General features: G+C 43.8%; 1 protein-coding gene across 6 annotated transcripts in view, besides 8 other annotated features; it reads right to left on the reverse strand.

Moving 5' to 3' along the window:
* LRIG1 (leucine rich repeats and immunoglobulin like domains 1) overlaps positions 1 to 5,990 on the reverse strand; it is a 122,325-nt gene extending 116,335 nt beyond the window's left edge. For 4 of the 6 annotated variants that reach the window (XM_047447939.1, NM_001377344.1, XM_011533578.3 and 1 more), the window contains exon 1: positions 5,059 to 5,891. In XM_047447939.1, coding sequence (XP_047303895.1) covers positions 5,059 to 5,276 — 218 coding nt within the window. In that variant the 5' untranslated portion in view covers positions 5,277 to 5,891. Of the gene's footprint in view, positions 1 to 4,751; positions 4,924 to 5,058; positions 5,892 to 5,961 lie in introns of those variants that run through there. The other 2 variants (NM_001377345.1, NM_001377346.1) reach the window with 2 other exon arrangements.
* Positions 574 to 868: a silencer, noted in NCBI's record as "tiled region #8313; HepG2 Repressive DNase unmatched - State 4:PromP, and K562 Repressive non-DNase unmatched - State 24:Quies". NCBI's record gives its function as "represses a minimal TATA promoter and a strong SV40 promoter by Sharpr-MPRA in HepG2 and K562 cells {active_cell/tissue: HepG2 | K562}" and the evidence as "EXISTENCE:reporter gene assay evidence [ECO:0000049][PMID:27701403]".
* Positions 4,987 to 5,487: an enhancer, noted in NCBI's record as "H3K27ac hESC enhancer chr3:66550542-66551042 (GRCh37/hg19 assembly coordinates)". NCBI's record gives its function as "activates a minimal SCP1, AML or CMV promoter by ChIP-STARR-seq in primed H9 embryonic stem cells {active_cell/tissue: H9 hESC(primed)}" and the evidence as "EXISTENCE:reporter gene assay evidence [ECO:0000049][PMID:30033119]".
* Positions 5,091 to 5,300: a silencer, noted in NCBI's record as "silent region_14505". NCBI's record gives its function as "represses an Ori minimal core promoter by ATAC-STARR-seq in GM12878 lymphoblastoid cells {active_cell/tissue: GM12878}" and the evidence as "EXISTENCE:reporter gene assay evidence [ECO:0000049][PMID:35858748]".
* Positions 5,321 to 5,400: a silencer, noted in NCBI's record as "silent region_14506". NCBI's record gives its function as "represses an Ori minimal core promoter by ATAC-STARR-seq in GM12878 lymphoblastoid cells {active_cell/tissue: GM12878}" and the evidence as "EXISTENCE:reporter gene assay evidence [ECO:0000049][PMID:35858748]".
* Positions 5,441 to 5,580: a silencer, noted in NCBI's record as "silent region_14507". NCBI's record gives its function as "represses an Ori minimal core promoter by ATAC-STARR-seq in GM12878 lymphoblastoid cells {active_cell/tissue: GM12878}" and the evidence as "EXISTENCE:reporter gene assay evidence [ECO:0000049][PMID:35858748]".
* Positions 5,441 to 6,260: a biological region, named in NCBI's record as "H3K27ac hESC enhancer GRCh37_chr3:66551043-66551543".
* Positions 5,488 to 5,988: an enhancer, noted in NCBI's record as "H3K27ac hESC enhancer chr3:66551043-66551543 (GRCh37/hg19 assembly coordinates)". NCBI's record gives its function as "activates a minimal SCP1, AML or CMV promoter by ChIP-STARR-seq in primed H9 embryonic stem cells {active_cell/tissue: H9 hESC(primed)}" and the evidence as "EXISTENCE:reporter gene assay evidence [ECO:0000049][PMID:30033119]".
* Positions 5,601 to 6,260: a silencer, noted in NCBI's record as "silent region_14508". NCBI's record gives its function as "represses an Ori minimal core promoter by ATAC-STARR-seq in GM12878 lymphoblastoid cells {active_cell/tissue: GM12878}" and the evidence as "EXISTENCE:reporter gene assay evidence [ECO:0000049][PMID:35858748]".

The following is a 22,795-nucleotide window of genomic DNA, read 5'->3' on the forward strand; positions in this document are numbered from 1 at the left end:
GCCATGAGGTAGATAGAATGAACCCTAGTGGCTCAGTGTCATGCTTAAGTCATAAAAAATAACAGTAACGGTCCCTAAATTTCCCACAGGCTGGTAAACACTGGAGATTTTTAGATATTTGCCCTTCCCTGCCTGGGAATTTTTCCTCCACCCGTCCTCCCTCCTGTCTCAAGACAATGCCATCAGCCTTTGAAACTGCATCCATTGTAAACAGCTCTGAATATTAACACGGCCCAGAGTTCTGTTCGCTTTTAAAAGACCCCCAGGGTTTCAAATTGCAGTCACTGAGGAGGGGGAACGTACCCAGTGAGTAAATGTCACATAGCTCATTCAAAAGGAATTGAAAGTTAGGCTTGCTCGTGAAACTTAAAGTCCTTCTACCTATGGGGTAGGTCAGAGGAATCCCTTTTATGTTTTAAACAAACGAGGAAAAGAAGAAAGAAAGACTCTGATACAACCAACATCCTTTACTGCATATAACAACTTTCAATTCAATGAATCCCTCTTCTAGATTTCCCTCTCCTGTGCATGCCACTTTTTAAATAACTATAGGCTATTTTAAACAACCTCCACCCAGCCTTCCTATCTAACAGACCTTCAGGGCTTTAGCAGGTGCACAGCACTGGGCCAGGTGCATTGTTAAGTCACACAAAACCCCAGTGCTCTCTCCTGCATTCCTGTCCACCCTGAAAGAGAGGAGGCTGAAGACTTTGCACCAAGGAGACACCCCTGCAGAAGCGGGAGAGGCCCTTTCATTGTGATCATGGTGTCTGAGGGAGAGAAAGGTCAGCCAGAGGCCGTCCCAATGGACTCAGGGAAGCTGCAGGGAGAACCCAGGCAAAGTAATTAACACTGGAGGGAGGAAAGCTTTCAGCTAACGGTGCAGAGCTGGGGAGATGGGACATGAGGACATCCACTAGGAACCAGCTCTCATCACACTACACTTAATTTTTCTTCATCTTTCTGAAGATGGTTCCGAGAATTACTGCTGATAATATGTTCAAAAGTCCAAAGTCTGTAAAATCTAGTAACCAAATATAATTATGCAAAGAGACAATACACTACTTTTTAAAACAGTCCCTTGAAAAGCGGGGCAGGAACAGTTCTGACATGTCCTAAAGGCAAGAGGGACATTGTGTGCCAATACACAGTTAATTTACATGGGGCGCTGGGAATCTCTGGACACTTCCTACTTTAGCAGTACTCAAAGAATAGATATTACGGCCACAATTTCATATCAGCAAGACTTAAACAGTGTGCCTTTTTCTCACGACAACCAATATTATTTGCCAGAAATCTCACCTTACTCAAAAAAAGTTGTCAGAGAGCTATCAACAGACAAGTTATCCCCCAACAAGAGGGAAGACACTTGTTGCAAAAGAAAAGGACTCTGAGCTCAAGCTAAAGTTCCCTGAAACTCTAAGAGCACTTGCACCTTTCAGACTGTATTCTTGGCAATTAACCTGTGTTTAAAATGCTCCCTATTCCAAACAACCCAGGTTCTTCCCTGTCCCACAAATCGGAAGACTTTTGTTTCAAAGTCTGTTGAGTTTAAGTGATATGGAGAAGGAAATATTTCAGGACCATCCATACAACAATCTACTTTAAAAAAAAAACATGAATCTCAGTTTAGGTTCCAGAACAATTTGGTGATCTGCACTTTAAACTTAATTTGCATAAACAGGATGGAAAGTATTTTCCAAACCCTTAATTCACAACACCCTGCACACCTGGGCCTTCCAGCACAGCTGTAAAATTTGAAAGACAAAGGCCCTCTTTGCTTCCCAACCACAATGGCAACCACAGTTGGTGTTTATTTTCTAAGGTAATCATAAGTACCACTTCTTTGCCAAAACTGGCAAGGTTAGATTTAAGCTAACTGATCTGGTATTGCAAACACATAGTACAAAGAGATCAAAATCAATAAACTCATCTTAATGTGGCTTAGGATAACCACACTTGGTATACACTTTTGTGAATATCCTTGCTTTAGAATGCTCTGTCATCTTCACTCCACACTGAGAACAAAAATCAGGGTTTGTTCTTCCTCTAGGCCTGCCTTCCTAATCCTAATCCCAATCCCAATGGGCTACCATTCAGCTCTCAGGACATTTAAACTAGCAACATTTTGTGACTAAACACTGCTGAAATTTACGGCACAGGTAAGAGTCTAAGGTAAACTGTATTTAATACTTCTTAAATAGCTTCTGAAGCCATGCTCTCAAAAATAATTTCAAAGAAAGCAAATATCTGAGTTCTAAGAAGTTCAACTTCTTCTCAGGTTCTGGGAAGTTGGAATAAGGCTTGGCAGTGGCTTGGTGCTATTTATGAATGTGCTAGTTGGACCATGCCAATCTCACCTACGTAATGGGCTGGGAGACTTAAATTATGGCTTGACTACTACAACTGTAAGTTATTGTGCTGAAAAGTTATCCTCAGGCCCCAAAAATGAACCGATTATCATTATCCATTCTGTTTCTTCTATTCACACTGCATTTACATTCACTATTTAAAAGTTTTATTTTTCTTATATCAGGCCTAGAAGCAACTTCCACATCAGACGCACTGTTTACAAAAAAAAAAAAAAAAAAAAAAAAGGTCCCATAAAGCCACAGGTCCTCTGCTATCTCAAACCCACAGCCTGAAGTTGTTTGAACTAGCTGCAGTAAATCCAGTTCATGGGTTTATAAACTAGCTCAAAGCATTTTCTAGACACCGTGGGCTTAGAGCGTGTAAACTTGGTGAAACTACAAGATATTTCATTATATCATATACAGACACTTTCTCCCCTAAAGTCTTGCTGAATCTTAGCCAGGAATACAAACCATATAAATACTCTTATGGAAATTCCAGAATAAGACTCACGGAGACTAATGATTTAAATTCAGAAGTCTGAAGTCTAGAAAAAAAGAACACATTTGCTTGATTTGTCCTTAATCAGAAATAAGAAAACTTCACAAATATTTTTCAAAGGATAGCCATTTTGCACTGCATACTGTGTTGCTACATACTAACCAGAAATCATGCTGCTCATATCTTAAAATCGAATCAGTCAACACCATAATCAGTATACTAAAGTCTACTGATGCTCAAAATACCCACTTTGGTATTTCTCGATCATCAAATGTGTGAGTAAAAGAGAAGGACTTCAATTTTGAAGGTATTTATGCCATGTGAAATGTCACTCCTAGGCAACAGAAAGCCTAAAGAAATAACCAGTATGTTTTGCTCCAAAAATTAAAGGGCAAGGCAAAGTGGATCTTGTGACCATAGGAAAGTGCAAATAAGAGGACACCCTGCCCTCTCTGGGAAGTTACTTCTGTGGAACTAAGTGCTTTCCCCACAATGCCACTGACACATGGCATTGGGAGTCACTCTTCCAACAGGTGAACACTTAAGAAGTTAATCTGATTTTGCCCACATGATTCTATTTAAAAAAAAAAAAAAAAACTACCGTATGTAAGGGAAAAATCACAATACCCCAGACTAAATAAGAGACTACCTAAGGACAATACTGGGCTCTATCTCCCAGTACTTCACAAAAGCTCTGCCTCCACCCTACGACCACTGATTTTCACTAACTCAGTAAATTCCACAGAAGAAGTAGATATTGAAAACCTAACTGTAACTAAAGGGTTCCTGGTTGTCTTCAGAACTCTGTAGTACTTGTTCATGGAGCAGTGTCTCGGGCCAAGTTAAAGATTCGTGCCCCATTTTGAGAGGTACAGGATCTTTACATTTAAAAGGAATTAACTTTTCTTCCCTTCACGGTAGTCAGAACACAGGCCACATTTTCTTCGATCAAGCCACAGGTGCTGGTTACAACTTGTGACACCAGTTTTCTCTTTTTAAAACAGCCATAGTCATGCCTAAGGTTACTGCTGTGCCTTTCCTATGTTCTAGGAAAAATGTCCAATTATTCAACCGAAATGCGGACTATTTAAGCTAGGCCTTTTCTGGAAAGGTACTAATGGTTCTACAGAGATGCTAATTACCCATAACTGAACGGGATTTGACTCATGCACCAGATTTGTTAGAAGTAAAAGAAGACTATTCTATTCTACCATGTTTACACAGAAGTCTAATGCCTTTTTTTTCCTGTCAAATCTCCTGTAAGAAGTGTCCCACTAAGTCCTAATAAGCCCACATCCTGACAGCACAGAAAAGAACCTCTTTCGGGTGAAACAAACAGCTTAAATCAGCCAAGCCCCTGGCACCCTCTCCTGAAGCAGCACTTCTCCAAAACTCATTTGCACCATTTATGGAGGAGAGAGTCTTGAGGGTGGGCCCCACCCCACTGGATCATCAAGCCCAATGGGGCCCCAGGGAACACACAGGAAGGGTCTGGAACACAGTTCCGTAAAATGCCAAACAGGCGTAAAAGGACAAACTCCCAGCACTCACAGGTCGCCAGGAACTGTCAAAGCCCTCTAACTCAGGGGTCCTCGGGGGAAGACTGCCTTCTGCCCCGCACAGAGAGGCAAGTCAGGCCACCACGGTCTTCGGGGATCAGGAGACGGCTACACACACTATCAACTAATAAATAATGTAAACGAAAGACTGGACCCAACAGTCACCTTCATTCATTACCCACTGGAAGACCAAGGAGCTCAGACACCAAATAGTTGGATTACAGGAGAGGAAAAGGAAACGCACCCACATACCCCCACAGACTTCTTCACACTCTTCTCCAGACGTTTCCCACCCACCCACCCGCAAACACACTCAGCTCCAGACTCCCACTCACTCACCCCCAGATGGCCCGCACGACGCGTGCTGGCTAACCCCCAAATCTCTACGACCCACGCTCGCTCGTCTCCAGACCCCACGAGGCACGCTCTTCTTCTCCAGGCTCTCTCGCACGCCTACTCCCCCGGACCTCCACGCAGAATCTCCCTTCCGCCACTCCAACCTGACAGTCTTCCAACACGCACAAGCACGCACAACTCCACACACACAACCCAGTCCGCACCCCCTCCCTGAGTACGAACCCCCGCCGCTCCATCCCCAAGTGACAGAGCCCCGGGGCGCAGAGAGGGCGGAAAGGGCGGCACTCACAGGCTCCGCGTCCAGGAGGGCAGGTCCCCGGGCAACGCAGCCAGCCCGCGCCCACCGCAGTCCAGCGAGTCCCCAGCGCAAGTGCAGGCGGCCGCGCAGGGCGCCCGCGGGCCGGCCGCGGCGGTCACCGGCTCCAGCCGAAGCAAAAGCAGCCAGAGAAGGAGAAGGCAAGGCGAGCGGCGCGGGGCCCCGAGCCCTCCCCGGACCGGCCGCGCCATCTTGTCTGGAGCGCGCTGCGAACTCCGGGCGCGGGGACTGTGAGGACCCGAACGGCCGCAGACGCGGGCGGGCCCGCGGGGCGCTCCGCTCGGCTCTAGACTCCGCACCGGGGCATGGCCCCCGCCCCAAGTTCTCTCTGCGGCCGCGGCTCCGGCACTCAGCGTGCCCCCGGTGCCCGGGCCGCTCCGGAGCACCCGGCGGGGGCCGCAAACCCCGCGCCCATCCGGGCCGGCCGGCCCGCCCGCGCTAGCTGCGAACTCCGCCGATTCGGGCAAGGTGTACCCAGCCTGCGCTCTTCGTCCGCCCGGGGCACGCCGAGTGCCGCTACCGACACCGGCCGAGGGCAGTGCTGCCGCTGCGCCTGGAAGACAGGCGTTCAGCCCCGCAGCCCGAGCTCGGTGCCGGCAGGCATCTTCCTCTGGGCTCGGAGCGCAAAGCCGTAGACCTCGGGCTGGACGGCGCGGCCGGCCCCGCGCTGGGAGGCCCCAGTGCGCCTCGCTGTCCCCACGCCGCGGCCAGAGAGCGCGCGCGCGCGCGCAGCCTCGGGTTCCGCACGGCTCCTCCGCGCAGCAAGAGTCCCGCCGACCTCGCAGCCGAACAATCAGCCGCTTGCTGTTCGCCTCCCCGCGGCCCAGCCCCGGCCGGTCCCCCAAGCCCCGCCCCCGGCCGCTCGCCCGCACACACCCCCTAGGCTCCGCGCTCCGCGGCCGCCTGCTGGCCCACGTTGGATGCTTTGCAACAGCGCCCCGCCACGCCTCCCCGCCTGCTGCTCATTGGCTGCCGGAGTCCACCGTGGCCAGCCTCGAGGGCCATTGGAGCGCTCGCTGTGATCCCGCCCCTCCCGCTTCACCGGCTACCCCGCCCCCACACTCTTTTCCCACCCAAGGTGTGAAGGGCGGGAGACTGGGAGGAGAAAGGGAGGGACGGCCCCCGCCTCTTAAAGGAGACACGCAGGTTGTTGTTGGAGAACGGGAACGCGGGCTGGGGAAAGGAGGCGTGAAGATACGCCCTCTGCGTCAAGAAGGGGAGAGAAAGTTAAGAGGGTAAAACGCCCCCGTTTTGGGGCTGTCTGGCCCCAAGGCTTTTTACGTCCTCCTCAGGCTGCAAGCAGGACTGCAGATTAGAAGCAAACCCGCGTCCGTTTTCCAGGTTCCTTCCAAAAGCGAAGACACAGGTTTAAAACTTAACACATTTCTTCCTGACTGGGACATCCTTGGTTATTTCATTAGGCGTGGTCCCCTTCCTCCTCGAGCAGCCTGGAGCATCTGCTCCTGACTTGTTCTTCACGTCCTAAATCCAGCAATATGTCCTTGATTACTAAAATGAATGTGTGCTGCAGAAACCTAGTCTCAAAGGTGCACCCTCGGCCAGGAGTGGTGGCTCACGCCTGTAATCCCAGCAGTTTGGCAGGCCAAGGCGGGCGGATCACCTGAGGTCAGGAATTCGAGACCAGCCTGGCCAACATGGTAAAACCCCGTCTGTACTAAAAATGAAAAATAAAAAAATTAGCCAGGTGTGGTGGTGCACACCTGTAATACCAGCTACGGGAGGCTGGGACAGGAGAGCTGCTTGAACCCCGGAGGCGGAGGCTGCAATGAGCAGAGACTTGTCACTGAATTGTCACTGAATTCCAGCCTGGGTGACAGAGCGAAACTCCGTCTCAAAAAAAAAAAAAAGTGCACTCTCCTTCCCAGCTAGTGAGTTGAAGGGTACTTCTAGAAATGCTGCAGCCTTTGATAAAGGGGTTGCTTTGTTGTTGTCATTGGGTTTTTGTTTTAATCAGAGTCTTTTTAAGATAATTTTCAAGAAGCCATTGTGTATTCGTAAGAGACAGAGTTAAAGGAGAAATAATAGTTAACAAAGCTTCTAACTTTTGCTCTTAAAGATCAGACCATAGTAGTAGTGTGTTACGATAGTACGTGGTAACATTAAGCAGACATACACACATTGAGAAAAAAAGAAAAAGATTACCACTGTAACATATAGCTGCCCTCTGGGCGTTTTGGTTTGCTAGTGTCTCATATCCCTTCCCAAGAGTATGCAAATTACTAACATAACTGCGCACATTGTCAGGAAGATTAAGCAGGTCAAGTCTGTTGAAAAACATTTGCTCCAGAACATTAAATCTGAGTTGTGTTTTATGGAAGTGGGGTGGGGTGGGAGGTAAAGAGGAGAAGTTGAACCTTAGGGAAAAAAGGCAAAAAAAAAAAAAAAATTAAAGGGTTTATTCCATTTTCGACACAATCTAAGAGGTTTGCTTTAATTGAGATGCACTAAATGTGTTAAACTTTCCCTCAGCCATAAGATCACCTCTTTTCTTTAGCCAAAATGTGATCTTCCTATCCCTTCCTCCCCTTTTTCCTTCTTCCCCTTCTGAATTCATTGCGCCTCATTTTTTTCTTGTTTAATTTTGCATGATCTCAGCAGTGATGCCCAAAGCAGTGCTCAAATATGTGGGTAAATCAATTCAAATCTAATTCCCAAGAAATATTATCAGAAAAATGCTGCACCTGACCCATCCCACCCAGAGCTTTAACCAGCTTTTATGTTTCATATGTAATCCAAATAAACATACACCTTCCATCTGGACGAGAAGAAATATGTCCTTTTGTTCTATCCCTTTTGGTAAATATAATAATAATAAGCAGTGGGAATGGAATTAAAAAGACCCTAAATTTATGAAGTCCTCTCAGTCAGTGTTTAAGTTTTACACAAAGAACACAAAACAGTAATTTGATGCAGAATACCCACAGCCGTTTCCTGAAATGAAACTGTCAGATCCTCCCTGTCCCCACCCCACAATAAAACAGCATATGCAGCAAAAAATGAATTGAACTGATTGAACTACTTGAGATGCTGACCTAAAATTATCTTTCAGGTTTGTCTCATTTCTAGTACTATAAAAGTGGGTAATTCTTGTAAAATGTTTTTTCAAATGTGTATGGGTGTACTTGTGAGATGCCTTTTTGGAATCTTAGTTTTCTGGAGGATAGAATTTAAGAATCTGCAAGGTGAGGGAGTGCCCACAAATCTAAAGCATCCCTTGTGGTCTGGTTACCATGCAGCCAGAGAAAAGGATTCCAAAGCCGGGGCACACTTGGGGGGACAGGGCGCCTAAGCCTTGGCAGTTCCTCTCGTCTACAGCAAAGCATGAAGTCATGTCTGCTCCCCATACCATGTATGGAAGTTTGCCCACATACTAGCAACCTGCTTGTGATTGCAATGAGAGTGTGAACTTGGAGAGCAGTGATATCCAGCTCAGGGGGGAATTCATCTGCAGCCACCACCTAAGATGAAGGAGATCTCAACAACAACAACAGCAAATGTCTAAGGGAATCTATGTCTCTGCTCATAAAAGTGCAAGTCTTGGTCCATTCAGCACAGAGCAACAGTTGATTTGGGTGCTGTAGGTCCTTATTTTCCTCACACTGCAACTTTGATCTTTCTAAATGCTTATTCCTTAAATGAGTCATCCGGGGATTTTAGATTTTCCAGTTCATTTTCATCTACCCCAGGGATAGCATGGAATCAAACCCCAGTGAGAATCTCTGCAGGTCTCTCTTGACTCCAGAAGCCCTAGCAGTTAATCATCCTAAGTTAATCATGCTTGAGAGAGGAACCCAAAATCTAAATAGCCTGAAATCTATTGGGGAGAGAAGCAAATAACAAAATAACAAGAAAGAAGGTTAACCATAGGAATTTTTTTTTTTAACACAACTTCCTGGGGACTGAATTTGTGCCAGTTTGCTATAGTTCTAGGTGGTGGTCTTTAGTGGTTTTAAAGAATGCTGAGATTCAGAGGGGCTTTCTTAATGTTAGGTGAGATTTTACACTGTGTTCAATACATTAAAAAAGCACCAGGTCACCATTCAGGAGAGCTGGGTTCCAGCCAGGCCTTGTTATGGGTGAAACCTTTGACCAGTCATTTTCTGTCTTGGAGCCTCAGTTTTCTCAAATAGAAAACAAGGGGCTGGGCACGGTGGCTCACGCCTGTGATCCCAGCACTTTGGGAGGCCGAGGTGGGGGGATCACCTGAGATCAGGAGTTCAAGACCAGCCTGGCCAACATGGTGAAACCTCATCTCTACTAAAAATACAAAAATTAGCCGGGTATGGTGGCACACACCTATAGTCCCAGCTACTTGGGAGGCTAAGGCAGGAGAATCGCTTGAACCCGGGAGGCGGAGGTTGCAGTGAGTCGAGATCGCACCATTGCACTCCAGCCTGGGTGACAAGAGCAAAACTCCATCTCAAAAAAAATATATATATAAAAGAAAAATAGAAAACAAGGATAATGGTACTTGACCTGGGTGCTGAGTGAGTAAAGAAGGATCATTTTGATAAAGGACCAAAGGGGCATTATAAACTGTTTACATCTCATTGTTTTCAAGGTGTTATTGATTTGTTAACTCTGAAAAACTGAGAGCCCATATGTATAATGTAGATGGAAAATCTTAGCAGGTTGTTTCAGCAGGAAAGTTTCTTGTCCAGGAATGTGACAAAGGGTTAATAATTAGCTATGAAACCCCTGAAGACTTGCAGGGTGATGACAGCCCTGCTTTGAGCCTGTTTTCTATCTCTCTTCCAAGGAAAATAAAACTGTGTACTCATTAACTCCTTCGTCGCAATAATCTTGTCAAGGAGATGGATGGGTGGAGAAGGTAAGAGAGGAGGCTAATGAGTCTGGGAATAGAATATAAAAAGAGAAAGATTTTGAGATCTCCCCATCCCCCATTCCAACATTTGCCTTTGGTGGAGGTAGTTTTCTTGTGCAATCTCTGGCTATTGGAATATTGGTTAATGCCCAGACAGTGCCAAGCTGCAGCTGCTGCAGTTCCACAGCAAGAATGGTTGTTGCCTGCAGCTCAGCTGTGACCCTTCACAGGATCTGCCCTCCTCCACAGAGCACCATCGACAGGGGCCAAAAACCTTTAGAGTCCACTTTCTAACACAAACTAGAACCTTGACACTTGTCCTTGCCTTGTGAATGTGAAATGTTTACTGGTTCACTGAAAGGATGAAAAAAAATATGTCAAAGGTATGAGCATTTCATAATTCTGAGATTGAGATTCTGGAGTAATGGTCATTGTAGGAGGCAGTCCCTTACCTCTGACGGTGATGATGATGGGATGGACTAATTACATCATCACCAGAGACCGCACCTCTCACTCCCAATCTGCTGCCTTTGCAAATGTCACTCCGAGAAGTACATGAGGGCGAGTGCAGGGAGGATTCAAAGTTTATGCCTCACTGCCAACCACTCAGAACTAACACTGCAATGTATATAAAGAACAGCACATTGATCATAACATAATAATAATCTTATGAAGTCATATACCTTACATTTTTCAAAGCACTGTCACATCATAACAACAGCTATCATTTACGGAGCACTTTTTATATGTCTTTCATGTTGTTGAGTGCTTTATGTACTTTTTTCAGTGAGGTAGGAGCTAAGAAAAACGTTTAAGGCCACACAAGCTAATAAGTGACAGGGCCAAGATTCCAAACCAGTTCTGTGGACACCAAAGATCTATTTTGGGCTGGGCACGGTGGCTCAATTCCTGTAATCCCAGCACTTTGAAAGGCCAAGATGGGTGGATCACTTGAAGTCAGGAGTTCGAGACAAGCCTGACCAACATGGTGAAATCCCTTCTCTACTAAAAAGAAAAATATTAGCTGGGCATGGTGGTGCATGCCTGTAGTCCCAGCTACTCAGGAGTCTGAGGCAGGAGGATCACCTGAGCCCAGGAGGCAGAGGTTGCGGTGAGCCGAGATCGAGCCACTGCATTCCAGCCTGGGTGACAGAGCAAGACCCTGTCTCAAAAACAAAGAAACAAAAAACCCCAAAGATCTATTTTGACATTTGAGCCTCCTAAACTTTGAATATGAAAATTGTTATTGTTCCCACTTTACAGATGAGAAAGCTGAGGTTCAGTGATTGTCCCAAGGTCACGCGGCATCAGGAATAAATAGAATCTTAAATCACAAGTTTCATCACAACCACCAGCACACATATTTTATATTCAGTGAATGTCTTACGAAGTGTATCATGGAGCTTCTTTCTCAGGGATGCCATGAGAATGGATGTGATTTCTTTACTTTTTCATATTTACTAATAGATTTTCAAAGTTCCCTCTATGATTAATAAGTTAAAATTTTAAAGGATAAATATCTAGACTTTTCTCTCCCCCCATACCCAGCAGTACTTGTATAACAACAGTGGTTAACATTACTGATCACTTACTATGTGCTAGGCATTATTTCACATCATGGCTTAATTTCACTGAAGAATTCTATGAGATACCTTAGAGATTGTCATCTTACATATGAAGTTACTGAAACTCTGAAATCAATCCCCTTGCCCACATTATACCCTAATTAGGTGCTGAGCAGGAAGAGGCTCACAGCTAACCTACCCCAATCACACTCCCTCTCTTATCATTCTCACTTTTGATTATTTTTCCTGTTTATCTCTTCCTCCAGTCTAGTAGCTCAGTAAGTTAAAAGTAAGTTAAAAGACTGAGTCTAAATCCCTTCTTGGTATTCCTGTTGTCTAACACAATTCCAGGCACATGGTAGGCACAGAGACAATATTTGCTGAGTGAGTCCTGCCTGCCCTGCAAGGAGGGAGAATTATCAAGCCTCTTTCCTCCCCCATTTTATTTTATACATGCTTGCTATTCACATATGTGTGCTGACCACATCAATATTACCTGGAGCTTCTCAGAAATGTGAACCTTAAGGCTGGGCACAGTGGCTCATGCCTGTAATCCCAGCATTTTGGGAGGCCAAGGTGGGCGGATCACCTGAGGTCAGGAGTTCGAGACCAGCTTGGCCAACATGGTGAAACCCTGTCTGTACTAAAAATACAAAAATTAGCCGGGCATGGTGGCATGCGCCTGTAGTCCCATCTACTCGGGAGGCTGAGGCAGGAGAATCGCTTGAACCAGGGAGGCAGAGGTAGCAGTGAGCTGAGATCACACTATTACACTCCAGCCTTGGTGACAAAGTGAGATTCTGTCTCAAAAAAAAAAAAAAAAAGTAATTTCAAAAATAAAGACAAGCATGTGGCTGACATTATTGCACCTAAATTGAAGCGCATGCAAAACATCTGCTGCCCATGAGATTTTGGTAAAATCCTCTCGTGCCATTCAATTCTCTTTTCCTTCACCATGCATTCAGACTAATAAAAAGCATTTGCAAATTTTATAGCCTGTTATATTTGTTTCCAAAAGGACAGTTGGGTTTATGACACATTTCAAATTTATTATAAACCTACAGACAGACACATATTATATGCTTTTCACTGTCATTCTTATCCATGAGCTACATTCTTTAGATAATCATTTAAATATCCTTATTTCCCTGGGGGAGCTTGACACTCCTCTTGGATTTAGATGCTATAAATCAAAGAAAAGTCTTTGTCTTTTCCGCAACTCTTTCTTATTTGAAGTGCCTTGACTGGTTACTATTTGGAGAAGGCAGCTGTATAGAATAATTGTCTGCCGACGGCCACTAGCAGTTTCTCCCCTCAAGAGGCAAAGTCTATTTTCTCTCCCTCTTAAATCTGGATTGGCCTTGTGCCTCGCTCTGACTGATAGAATGCAGTGAGAGTGACGCTCTTACCAGTTCTGGGCCTGGCAGCTTTGTCTCTCACCCACTTCCTACCTGGAGCTGTCATGTAAGGAAGTCCAGGCTGCCCTCCTAGAAATAGAGGCCCTGGAGGAGAAGAGACCATGGAGAGAGAGAGGCAACGTGCAAGAAAACTGGGTGGCCCAGCCAACAGCCAGCATCATAACCCCAGACATGAGAGTGAACTCATTTTGGACCTTTTAGCACAGACCAGCTAAATGCAACTGCACAAATGAGCCTCGCCAACATCACATGAGCAGGGCTAAGCCATCCCCAAGGGTCTTTCCCAAATTCCTGACCCGCAAAATCATGACCAATAAAAAAAGCTCTTGTTTTAAGCCACTAAATTTTGGGGTGACTTGTTATGCAGCCATAGATAACTGAGATAACAAGTGTGGCTAAGTGAGCATGCAATAAAACGTGAGTGGATTTTGGGGGAGGAATAAAATCTAATCAAATAAACCCGTCATCAGGAGTGTCAAAAAAATTAGTGTTATCAGCTGACCTTCCTGACGTGTTTGTCAGGGCCCTTGATTGAACGCAACAGGCTAACTGGCTGATGCCATCGAACAAAACTTCTTAGATAATAAATATTCTGGTTCTTCAGCAGGCCACAAAACAGGTTCCCTTCCACTTCTCTTAGAAACAGGTATGAGAGAAATGCAGAGGATCTGCTTATTTATAAAAGGTATGTTCTCTTATGTAACCCCATGGCATCCAGGTAAAATAACTGATTGAGAGGATGAAATAATTGAAGATCTATTCTTCCCGAAAAGATCAGATAAGGCTTAACGTGTTTACTCCATTTTTCATATGGGACAAATAAATGAATATTTTAAAATGGAATCCTAGCCATAAAACTGACACTGAGATACAGAGTTTGGGGGTATGCTTTGGTAGCGGGTGACAGTGGTGGGGATTATATCTCTTAGCTGTGTGCTAACCTTTAAGTTCTGCAAAGCATAGCTTACTGCCTCCTTATATATTGTCTTGCACTCTTCTCCAGCTCTCATTTCTTAGAAGCCATCACTGTTAAGCAGTGCTGCTTACAAAATCAAGTTAGCTAAGTCCCTGCCATCAGAGAGTTTATAATCTGATGGTATTGTTGACTGCTAGGTCCCCAGGATCTAGAACAGTGCCTGACAAATAGCAGGCATTCAATACATATTACTGAACGAATACATGATCAAATGAATGAACGGTTTTCTGTATGCAAACCTCATTTTCCAGTCAAGGCTATAAGCAGCTCACAGGAAGCAGGCCCCAGAGCCACAGACTATTGGAAGACAAAGGGATTTCGTGTCTTTGAGTGCAGTAGGTCAGGGTGAAGCCTGCCGGATCATCAGATCTGCCAGGTCAGAAACTTCTAGTGACCAACCACCCAGGTTTGGAACTCAGGGGTTTCCCAGGTCATGGGACTTCAAGTGCTAAAATAGGAAAGTTCTGGAAAAATCAGGACAAATTGGCCACCCTAATTGTAATTCTAGTTTCTAAATGCACACTTAGAACCTTTTGCATGCCGTATAGCTAAGCTATATGAGAACCTACTACAGTATGCACCAGGGAATAACTTGAGTGGTTCAAATGCATCAACTCATTTGATCCTCCCTACAGCCCTATGAGGCAGAACTATTAAAATCTTTTCTTTCTATAAAATAGAACACTGAGGTGCAGAAGGAAGTAATCTGCTGAAGATCACACAGCTAGGAAATTAGACTCCAGAGCTCACACTTTATTATTATTATTGTTATTATTATTGAGACAGGGTCTTGCTCTGTATCCCAGGTTGGAGTGCAGTGGTGCAATGTCAGCCCACTGCAAACTCCACCTCCCAGGCTCAAGCAATCCTCCCATCTCAGCCTCCCGAGTAGCTGGACTACAGGTGTGTGCCACCATGCCCAGCTAAGTTTTTGTATTTTTAGTAGCAACATGGTTTCTCCATGTTAGCCAGGCTGGTCTCGAACTCCTGAGCTCATGCGATCTTCCAGCCTCAGCCTCCCAAAGTGCTGGAATTACAGGCATAAGCCACTGCACCTGGCCCAGAACTCACACTTTAAACCAGCACTCTCGTATACTTTATTATAGTAGATTCCCAGCTCCTTCTCAAAATTTGTTTTAAACCTCATTCTTTTATTTGTATTCATAACACCTTTCACAGTTTCCAGTTATTTTTAGATTTTGTCAGCCCATTTTGTATCTGACTCTTTCTAATAGTAGGGCTGGAGCCTGAGGCCAGGGACCTCCACTCTACCCCTCAGGGTCTCTCACAGCACCTGGCATGAGAAAGGCTCAGGACAGATATGCGGAATGAATGCAGTAGACATGAAACCTCTAGGTTGACTGAAGGACTGATTGAGGTAGATTTCTAGCTCAAAGGGAATCTAATATTAACCAACATCTACCATGTTTCAGCCATCATCCAGGTAAAAACGCTGGCCAAACTTGGGCTTCAAGGGGATTAATTTGGCCTGAAGTGTTTATTTTTAAAAATTTGAATTTGACCTGCCTTTAGGAGGTAGGCATCTGCTGTCTTAATTTATATTTCCTGCCTGCCCACCCCACCAGGCATTTGAGTTTGCAACTATGATCCCAGCCTTTCTCTAACACTCATTCATTTATCCTTTACAGCAAGCCTCTGTAGTAGGCATTTCCGTCGGCTGTTTATAAATAAGAAAACTGAAGCTTGGAAAGCATAGGTAACCTGGCCAAGGTCAAAAACTTATGAAATGGGGAATAGTACTCAACTCAGGGCTGACTCCTCTTGCTATATCCACTCCTTCACTCCTCAGCCACTAAGTTCCTCTAGCCAACACATGAATGAGAGACCTATTACTTCTCAGTCAACATATCTGTTTTACAAGAGTGTGGCTTCTACACAGAGTTTGACTCCACCTGCATTCAATACAGTCAATCCAAATGTGTCCCAGGGTCTCCTAAATGTTTCTCTCCCATGATTCACCACCTCTCCCATGCCCCCCAGTAGAACATGGTGTTCTGGAAGCTAAGTAGGAGGGATAGTTCACTGTGGGAAATGCTTTTGGAAGATCTAGGTGAAAACTAAGAACTGATCATTGGATTTAGCATCAGATTTATTGTAACCTTGACGATGGCTCTTTTGGTGAAGTAGAGAGAACGAAGGCAAGATTAGAGTATTAAAGAGAGAACTGAAGGTAATAATAATTTGGCACAATGATGACAGCCTTTTTGAGGAGTTGTGTTATCAAAGCTAACAGAGAAATGGGATGATCGCTGGAGAGGGAAGTGGAGTCAGGAGAGTTTGTTTTATTTTGAGATGAGAGAAATAACATGGCATTTTTAATGATGGAAATACATTTGTAGAGAACAGAAAAAAATCAATAATGTACTAAGGGAAGGGGAGAAATGTGAGAGCAATATTCTTGAAAAGCCAAGAGTGGACAAGGGGAGAGGATGATTTTACCTTGGACCAAAGAGTCTTAAAGAAGCTGGAAGGCAGATTACAGGCACACCTTGCATATATTTCAGGTTTGGTTCCATACCACTACAATAAAACAAATATTACAATAAACAGAGTCACAAATATGTTGGCTTCTCAGTGCATACAAAAGTTATATTTACATTGTTCCATAGTCTATTAAGCGTGCAATAGCGTATGTCTAAAATAAAAGTACATATCTTACTTTAAAGATGTTGTATTGCTAAAAAATGCCAATGATCATCTGAGCCTTCAGCAAGTTGTAATCTTTTTGCTGGTGGTGGGTCTTGCCTCAATGTTTGATGGCTGCTGACTTATGAGGGTGGTGGTTGCTAAGGCTGAGGTGATTGTGGCAATTTCTGAAAATAAGACAACAGTAAAGTTTGCTGCATAGACTGATTCCTCCTTTCGCAAGATTTCTCTGTAGCGTGTCATGCTATTTGATAGCATTTTACCCATGGTAGAACCTTTAAAATTGGAGTCAATCCTCTCAAATCCTGCCTCTGTTTTATCAACTAGGTTAATGTGAAATTCTAAATTCTTGGGCATTTCAACAGTGTTCAGAGCATCTTCACCAGAAGCACATACCATCTCAAGAAACCACTTTCTTTGTTTATCCATAAGAAGCAACTCTTCACCTGCCCATGTTTGAGCATGAGATTGCAGCAATTCAGTCACATCTTCAGGCTCCACTTCAAATTCCTGTTCTCTTACTATTTCCACTGCATCTCCAATTCCTTCCTCCACTGAAGTCTTGAACCCCTCAAAGTCATCCATGAGGGTTGAAATAAATTTCTTCCAAACTCCTGTTAATTTTGAAGAACATTCACGGCTTCTAAAATGGTGAACCATTTCAAGAAGATTTTAGATTTACTTTGCCCAGATCCAGTAGAGGAATCACTATCTATGGCAGCTGAAATACATTATGAAATATAGTTCTTAAATAATAAGACTTGAAAGTTGAAATTACTCCTTGATCCATGGGCTGCAGAATGGATGTTGTGTTAGCAGGCATGAGAACATTCATCTCCTTGTACATCTTCATCTGAACTCTTGGGTGACCAGGAGCATTGTCAATAAGCTGTGATATTTTGAAAGAAATCTTTTCCTCTGAGAAGTAGGTCTTAACAGTGGGCTTGAAATATTCAGGAAATCATGCTGTAAACAGATATGCTATCATCCAGGCTTTGTTGTTCCATTTCTAGATCAGAGGCAGAGTAGATTTAGCATCTTTTTTTTTTTTTTTTTTTTTTTTTTTTTAGTAGAGACGGGGTTTCACGTATTAGCCAGGATGGTCTTGATCTCCTGACCTCGTGATCCACCTGCCTTGGCCTCCCAAAGTGCTGAGATTACAGGTGTGAGCCACCGTGCCTGGCCAGCATCATTCTTAAAAACTCTAAGGTTATCAGAATGGTCAATGAGCAATGGTTTCAACTTAGAAAGTCATCAGCTTCATTGACCCTAACCAAAAAATCATCCCGTCCTTCAAAGCTTTAAAGCCAGGCATTGATGTTTCTTCTCTAGCTAAGAAAGTCCTAGATAGCATCTTCTTCCAATAGAATGCTGTTTCATCTACACTGAAAATCTATTGTTTAGTGTAGGCACTTTCAGCTATGATCTTAGTTAGATCTTCCTGGATAATTTGCTGCAGCTTCTCCATCAGCACTTGCTGTTTCACCTTGCACTTTTATGTCATAGAAATGGCTTTTTCCTTAAACCTCATGAACCAACCTCTTCTAGCTTCACACTTTTCTTCTGTAGCTTTATCACCTCTGTCAGCCTTCACAGAATTGAAGAGAGTTAGGGCCTTGCTCTGGATTGGGCTCTGGCTTAAGAGAATGTTGTGGCTGGTTTGATCTTCTCTCCAGACCACTTACACTTTCTCCATATCAGCAATAAGGCTGCTTAGCTTTTTTTTAATCATTCCTGTGTTCACTGGGGTAGAACTTTTTCTTTTTTTCTTTTTTCTTTCTTTCTTTCTTTTTTTTTTTTTTTTTTGAGAAGGGGTCTTACTCTGTCACCCACGCTGGAGTGCAGTGGCGTGATCTTGACTCACTGCAGTCTTTGCCTCCCAGGCTCAAGCGATCCTCCCACCTCAGCCTACTGAGTAGTTGAAACCACAGGCATGTCCCACCAAGCCCGGCTAATTTTTTGTATTTTTGGTAGAAACAGGGTTTCGCCATGTTCCCCAAGCTGGTCTTGAACTCCTGAGCTCAGGAAATCCACCCACCTCGGCCTCCCAAAGTGCTCGGATACAGGTGTAAGCCACTGCGCACGGCCTGGGATAGCACTTTTAATTTATTTCAAGAACTTTTCCTTTGCATTCACAACTTGGCTAACTGGTGTAAGAGGCCTGGCTTTCAGCCTATCTCAGCTTTCAACATACCTTCCTCACTAAACTTCTTATTTCTAGCTTTTGATTTAAAGTGAGAGATGTGTGACTCTTCCTTTCACTTCAACACATGGCGGCCAGTGGACAGTTATTCATTGGCCTAATTGCAATATTGTTGTGTCTCAGGAGATAGGAGGTCCAAGAAGAGGGAAAGAGACTGGGAAATTGTGGCTGCTGGAGCAGTCAGAACATACGCCACATTTATCTGTTAAGTTTACCATCTTCTATGGCATGGTTTGTGGCGTCTCCCCACAATAACAACAGTAATATCAAAGATTACTGATCACAGATCACTAAAACATACATAATAATAAAGAAACAGTTAAAAATATTGTGAGAATTACCAAAATGTAACAGAGACACAAAGTGAACACACGCTATTGGAGAAATGGCACTGACAGGCTTGCTTGATGCAGGATTGTCACAAACCTTCCATTTTTTTTTAAAGCATTATCTGCAAAGCATAATAAAATGAGGTGTACCTCATTATCCAGTGCAGGTAGCCATGGTGGTAGGAGTTTCCGGCTATTCTCTCTCTCTCTCTCTTTTTTTTTTGAAACGGAGTTTCACTCTTGTTGCCCAGGCTGGAGTGCAATGGCGTGAACTTGGATCACTAAAACCTCCACCTCCCTGGTTCAAGCAATTTTCATGCCTCAGCCTCCCAAGTAGCTGGGATTACAGACAACCACCACCACACCCAGCTAATTTTTTGTATTTTTTAGTGGAGATGGGGTTTTACCACGTTGGCCAGGCTGGTTTCGAACTGCTAATCTCAGGTGATCCGCCTGCCTCGGCCTCCCAAAGTGCTGGGATTACAGGTGTGAGCCACTGCATCCCGCCTTGCTATTCTCTTCTGATTGCTTCTATTTTCTTAATGAAATAGAAGGCAAGATCATTGGCTGAGAGGGAGAATAAGTGATGGAGGTTCAAGGAAACATGAGAAGGTAAAATAGAAGATGTGGCTGTAAAGAGGCATGCTTGATTGTAAAGGGGTTGCTATTATTAGCAAGGTAAGGTATGACTGTGGGAGCAAGAAGCTGAGAATAGAAGAGCAAGGTCAAGCACTCAATAAATGTTTGTCAAATGATGAATGAAAACAAAATCACTGGAGATGATGTGATTCAAAATGTGGGAGGCCAGGAGAGTGAAAAGATCATTTGCATGGTTATGAAAATTACCAAGAATTATGACAGAAAGATTACTGTGAGAGTGAAAGTGGGTCAAGAGTTAAAATCTTTTTGAGGGTCAGTAGATGAGTGCTACAAGGTACCAGAGGGTTTGGGGGGGTGTGGATGAGAGAATCTGAAGTCATAAGATTGAGCCAGGAACAGAGGGTCATGCCTGTAATCCCAGCACAGGAGGCTGAGTCAGGAGAATCCCTTGAGCCAAGGAGTTTGAGACCAGCCTGGGCTACTTAGTGAAACCGTGTCTCTACATTAAAAAATAAATAAATAAAATGTAAAAAACTTAGTTAGGCACTGTGGTGCATGCCTATAGTCCCAGCTACTCAGGAGGCTGAGGTGGGGGGAATCACCTGAGCCTGGGAGGTCAAGGCTGCAGTGAACCATGATTGCACCACTGCATTCTGGAGCCTGGGTGACAGGGTGAGACCCTTCTCAAAAAAAAAAAAAAAAAAAAAGAAAAAGAAAAAGAAAAAATATTATTTATTAAGAAAATTATAAAGAAGATAAAATATATTTACTACTTAAGTGCTAGTGGATCATCATAAAGGTCTGTATTCTTGTCTTCATACTGAGTAGGCTAGAAGGAGGATAGAGAGGAGGAGTTGGTCTTGCTGTCTCAGGGGCAGCAGGGGCAGAAGAAAACCCATGTATAAGTTGACCTGCGCTGTTCAAACTCATGTTATTCAAGGGTCAACTCCACTGTACTCCACCATTGTATCGCAAAAGCAGCCATAGGCAACATGAATATGAACTTATTCATTTAGAATATGTGTAAGTGCATTCCAATAAAACTTTATTTACAAAAACATACTGCAGGCCTGCAGGTGGAAATCTGCTTACTGCAGATCAATACTGCTGAAAAAGCCCAGCTAGGAGAAGGTCTAATGAACAAAAACAGAACATGCTTGTCTGAGGACCAAGAATAAGAAGGATATAAACTTAGGATCCTGGTTGCAAGCAGAGTGGCCATGTATAGTTGTGAAGTTTGTTCACTGCACAACCCCAGGGGGCACTAGTCACATAGATTCCAATGTCAGTGACTACCCTAGAAGCTGTGCAGGGCATAATCTTTATAGCCACATTTGACAGTCCTAGTTGCAAGCATAGTAACTTCAAGGATTTTATATAATGAAAGAGTTAATAGGAGCCTCAAGCCTGAGAAGATATCTCTACTCTTTCTAGAAAAACAATCATTGCTTTTATTGAGCACCTGGCTTAGGAATATATAAACATTATCTCATATAATACTCCTAGCATTGCTGTAAGTTATATTTTCCTCATTTTGCTTTAAGGTTCAGAAAGGCTGAGCAATTTGCCTAATGTACCCAGCTAGTAAATATCTAAACCAAGGTTTACCTGACTCCCAAGTCTGTATTCCTCCTATTCTCCTCTCCTTTCAAACTGGTTACAAGGTTCTTTAATGATGACCTAGTCAAACATATATTAAACATTTTCTTCTGGAAACCTAATTAAAGGTAATTATATACCTTACAAGACACTAAAAATATGGCAGGCACGCCAACAAAGCAGACAGTTCTTATTATATCAATGTCTTTATGGATTTGGATTCTGTTCAGAAAAGCTCAGGCTCAAAAGGTAATTGCTGGCAGCATGCAAACTCCATCAACCCATAATTAACATATGACAATTATTCTAATTGCCTCAAACAACATTTCTATGTTTTTAATTGTAGAGCAATTTGCCAATAGCATTGTTAATTGGCAATTTATATTTTAAACATGCAAAGGACAATGGGTCCTTATTTCCTCTGAGGCAACTGCATGCATTAATTGAATTTTAAAAATACGTTTTCTTCTTTTCTCTGACCCCAGGACCTCCTTCAGATGGTTCTCATTGCAGTTCCTTCTGGCCAAAGTGTGTTTTCTCTAGGTAACTTAATCTTCCTTTAGCACTTTAATACATTTTCCTAACAATTCACTTAGACCAGATCCTTGTTTCTCTCTAGACACCCTGAGCAGGGCTCCTGTTGACTTCAAAGGGAAAATAGTGGGTGCAGGGAAAACTAGGAATCTGGTTCCTGGTTCAAAAAACCTCCACACACTATAAAACCTCACTGGTGTCTTCCTGTGTGTTAAGGGCCAATTAATACATGTGATTGAAGCCTTTGTATGAAACCACCCTGGCAACTTGTGAACTTGCTGGGAAGCACAGCAGCCAATACAAAACAATGTTTCGTGGACCCAGTTCCCATATAGACCCCCCATTTACTCATAGGGAGGGAATGAGAAGAGTAGGAATTGCCTCAAAAGGCAGAAAAGCAATAAAGACAGCCATTGACTCTCTCTTTCACTGTCTCCTCCTCTATTCCTTCAACACACAATTATAAACCACTTTGAACCAAACACTTGGCTAAGTATCAAAGATTAAAATTAATTTATCACCCAAGTATCAACTCCCAGCCCCAACATTAAGGGTCACTTTCCTCTGTTTGGGAACGAGGTGGTATGCCTTAAAGCTACATGAGACAGCCTGGCACAGCTCCTCAATGTTACAGAATCTTCCCTTTGACCTGCTGGCTGTCACCTGGAACTTCCAAACTCAGCCCTGCCATGGGATGCTGCTTCTCGATGTGGACGTTAGTGGAGGGGAGCAGGATGGGCAAGGTACCTTTAGCTTGTCCCTTCTTGACCCCACTGAAACCAGGACCAGGACCAAGACCTCTACCTTGTAAAGTTGTTCTAGAATATGAGAATTTAGGGATGACCTAGAAGTGACTGTGATGGAAATTGAAAGACAAAACTTTTAATAATGTCAAACTCTTTTTAACTTAATATAACTGCTCTCCATAGACAAGGGGAAAGGAGAGAAAATCCAATACCTTAACAGAGATTTC

Source organism: Homo sapiens, chromosome 3 (assembly GCF_000001405.40).
Source record: "Homo sapiens chromosome 3, GRCh38.p14 Primary Assembly".
Lineage (NCBI taxonomy): Eukaryota > Metazoa > Chordata > Mammalia > Primates > Hominidae > Homo > Homo sapiens.